Source organism: Homo sapiens, chromosome 3, assembly GCF_000001405.40.
Source record: "Homo sapiens chromosome 3, GRCh38.p14 Primary Assembly".
In the NCBI taxonomy this organism is placed as follows: Eukaryota; Metazoa; Chordata; class Mammalia; order Primates; family Hominidae; genus Homo; species Homo sapiens.
In genome coordinates, this window is record NC_000003.12 from 57,567,283 (window position 1) to 57,571,362 (window position 4,080).

Genomic DNA, 4,080 nt, shown 5'->3' on the forward strand with positions numbered 1-4,080 from the left:
GCCTGGGTGACAGAGCACGACTCCGTGTCAAAAAAAAAAAAAAATTGAAAATGTATCATTTGAACAATATAGAAAAATGACTGACAAGGTCAGGAAGGAACCTAACTCCGCTGCCTCTAACACATGAAGCCATACTGGCAGGCATCCAATAATACAGCTACCTTAATTATTCTTTGCCTGTGTCTAGATAAGCACTTCTGCTATTCATTTCTCACAATCTTATTAGAATTTAACCATTTAAGATAAAGGGATAGTCCTCTAAAAGTAGCATAGTAAGAAATAACAGCAGCCAAGTAACCTTCCAGTAGTGGCCCATGAATGCAATGTCACATGTATATACTAGTAGAAATATATTTTCCCTATTAGATCCTCAGGTAATGAACTTACAGACTGTTATTATTCAATCTAGTTTTCATACTAATTCTACCAAAGCTGGTAACCAATATTTACATTATTGAAACATCCAGAAGTACAAGCTACCAGAAGGTACAAGCACTTGTTCTCTCCAGTTTCTCCCCATTGAAAAGCACTTGGCCGGATGCGGTGGCTCACACCTGTAATCCCACCTGAGGTCAGGAATTCAAGACTAGCCTGGCCAACATGGTGAAACCCCATCTCTACTAAAAATACCAAAAATTAGCCGGACATGGTGGTGTGTGCCTGTAATCCCAGCTACTCGGGAGGCTGAGGCAGGAGAATCGCTTGAACCCGGGAGGTGGAGGTTGCAGTGAGCCAAGATCACACCACTGCACTCCAGCCTGGGTGATAAGAGTGAGACTCCATCTCAAAAAAAAAAAAAAAAAAAAAAAAAGTAAAGCACTTGTTTTCAATGACAAGTTAGGAGTCACTTTCAAACCTCCATGACAAAGAACCAGGTATTTCACATTTAATTAAATTTGGGCAAGGCAGAGTGGCTCATACCTGTAATCCCAGCACTTTGGGAGGCCTAGGTGGGTGGATCACTTGAACTCTGGAGTTGAAGGCCAGCCTAAGCAACATGGCGAAACCCCATCTCTACAAAAATTAGCCAAGACTGATGGCGTGGGCCTGTAGTCCCAGCTATGTGGGAGGCTGAGGTGGGAGGATCGCTTGAGCTTGGGAGGTTGAGGCTGCAGTGAGCTGTGATCATGCCACTGCACTCCAGCCTGGGCGACAGAGCGAGACCCTGTCTCAAAAAAAAAAGTTTGATCATAGTAAGTGACCTGAAAGTAATTACTACTGCCTGAAAGATAATTCTGTATACTCAAGTAAACTGAAGTGTCTGAATGAGACACCAATACTCTCCACAAAAGATACACTTCTTTTTTTTTTTTTTTTAATAGAGATGGAGGTCTCACTATATTTACCAGGTTGGTCTCAAACTCCTGGCCTCAAAGGATCCTCCCGCCTCAGCCTCCCAAAGTGCTGGGATTACAGGCATGAGCTACCATGCCTTTTTTATTTTCAATGGAGGGTATATAAGGTAAGTGGAAAATTTCATGGAAATTGAAACTCTTAACAAAATATCAAGATATTACATCACAGAAAAGCAGCTTATGTTAAAGTGAGACAAAAGACAATGGGAAATGTTATGGACAAAAAAAAAAAAAAAAATGCTTATTGGACAGGGGAACCAGAGAGCAGATAATCGTACTATCCTCAACTCTGATGCTGCCAAGTGATCCTGTAAGGGAATCACAATTTCTCTTCAGTTTCTCTACTGACATTATTTGACAATTAGTTGACAGAATACTTTTTAATCTAGGGATATAATCAACTGTTCTGTACAATAGGGGCGGTCACAGAGAACTCTTATTGCTTGACCAACAGTAGGTTTAACATTTGAATGAACAGTAAGCATTGAATCTTGATAGCATCAACTATTTCATAATACTTCAATAAATAAGGACAGTGACAGTGATTTTATGTTTGCATAAAACAGGGAAAGGCTAGGGGTTATCTCTCAATACTTTCTCCCAAAACATTTAAACCACTTCTGTTTGGAAAAAGAAAAAAAGGAACTTTAAAAAAAAATACAAAGACTGAAGAAAAAATAATTTTTAGGGGTAAATGTGTCAAGTTGCTAATACTTTATTATTATTATTATTTTGAGACGGAGTTTCACTCATTGCCCAGGCTGGAGTGCAATGGTGCGGTCTTGGCTCACCACAACCTCCACCTCCCAGGTTCAAGCAATTCTCCCACTTCAGCCTCTCGAGTAGCTGGGATTACAGGCATGCACCACCATGCATGGCTAGTTTTGTATTTTTAGTAGAGATGGGGTTTCTCCATGTTTGTTAGTCAGTCTGGTCTTGAACTCCCAACCTCAGGTGATCCACCTGCCTCGGCCTCCCAAAGTGCCAGGATTACAGATGTGAGCCACCCCACCCAGCCTAATACTTTCTTTAAAAACTATAAAAATTACCTGGGCATGGTGGCTCATGCCTGTAGTACCAGCTACTTGTGGGGCTGAGATGGGAGGATCACTTGAGCCCAGGAAGTAAAGGTTTCGGTGAGCCAAGATCCTGCCACTGGACTCCAGCCTGGGTGACAGAGTAAAACCATCTCAAAAAAAAAAAAAAAAAAAAAAAGGTAATTTCCAATGGTACTAAGAGCTGCTTTACATCACGAGTAAGATTACATAGATTCTCTAGTCCCTTTACAGTCCATGTAAACACCTTTGCATAACTAGGTTAAATACCTAGCCCTAACGCTGAACTTATTCACTGATGTTTTATATTTCCTAGTTGATGCCCCATAAGACTACACACACAACAATTATACTATAGTTCAGTTTTATCCTATAGGAAATGACACCTGTCTTCTTTGGAAGGAAGAAAGGAGAATTCATCCAGTTGGCTAGGGAAATTGCATTTCTAACAAGTAACACAAACTAAACATACACTTTGCCCTACCTAATCATCAACCAATTCTAATTTCCTTTTGGTTAATCCAGTGTTTTTTTTTTTTTTTTTTTTGGAGACAGAGTCTTGCAGACCGTGTGCAGTGGCGCTATGTTGGCTCACTGCAACCTCTGCCTCCCAGGTTCAAGCGAGTCTCTTGCCTCAGCCTCTCAAGTAGCTGGGACCACAGCATGCACCAGCACACCAGACCCTTTTTTTTTTTTTTTTGTATTTTTAGTAGAGATGGGGTTTCACCATGTTGCGGCTGGTCTTGAACTCCTGAGCTCAGGCAATCTGCCCACCTTGGCCTCCCAAAGTGCTAGGATTACAGGTGTGAGCCACCACGCCTGGCCATTGTTATTTATTTGACAATTCAAAAATATACATTTTTTTAAAAGTATGCATTTGATTTTGGAATTTTCAATCCATAAATTTAGCTGAATCTTTACAAGCCATTAAGAATGCAACATGAGAATATAGACAGAAACTAAGTTACTCAGTTATCAAGTTGAGCCCTTAAAACTTAATAGATGTAGTTTATGAGGTATACCTTTGTATGAATTATATGCAGCTTTCTGTTAAAGTTCTAAAATTTGCCCTGTTAAAAAGAAAAGTGGTTGTGAAACTTTTTTGTAGGAAAGTAGCATCACTAAGTCTCTATATTGGCCATACAAGTAGCACCTGAATTTTTTTGTTTAATTAACCTTAACTAAAAAACACATACATACATGCTTTTTGGGCAGTTCATTTTATTACAGCCTTTTACTCTCCCTACCCCACTCCACATGCCGCCCCTCCCCACCCCCCACCTGATTTTTTTGTTGTTGTTGTTTTGTTTTTAGTTTTTTAAGTAGAGACAGGGGAAACAGGGTCTTACTACATTGCCAAAGCTGATCTCAAACTCCTATTCTCAAGTGACCCTCCTGCCTCAACCTCCTAAAGTGCTAGGATTACAGGCGTGAGCCACCATGCCAGGCCCTCCTTTTACCCTTGATCTGACTTTAGAAAACTATGTTTTTAATAGTGTTCCCCATGCTGTTATACACATGAAAACAATCTAGATCTCCACTTTATACAATTAGTAACCTACCAGTGGGATCTGTGTTACTGTTCACAGTACATAAAATATGCAAGCAAAGTTGGCTACATAAGAAAATACATTTCAAATACCTTCAAAACTCAAAAAGAACACACACAA

At 40.0% G+C, this 4,080-nt stretch overlaps 1 protein-coding gene across 1 annotated transcript in view; it reads left to right on the forward strand.

The window, feature by feature from the left end:
- The window catches only part of PDE12 (phosphodiesterase 12), a 100,222-nt gene that overhangs the window by 11,009 nt on the left and 85,133 nt on the right, over positions 1-4,080 (forward strand). The window lies entirely within an intron of this gene.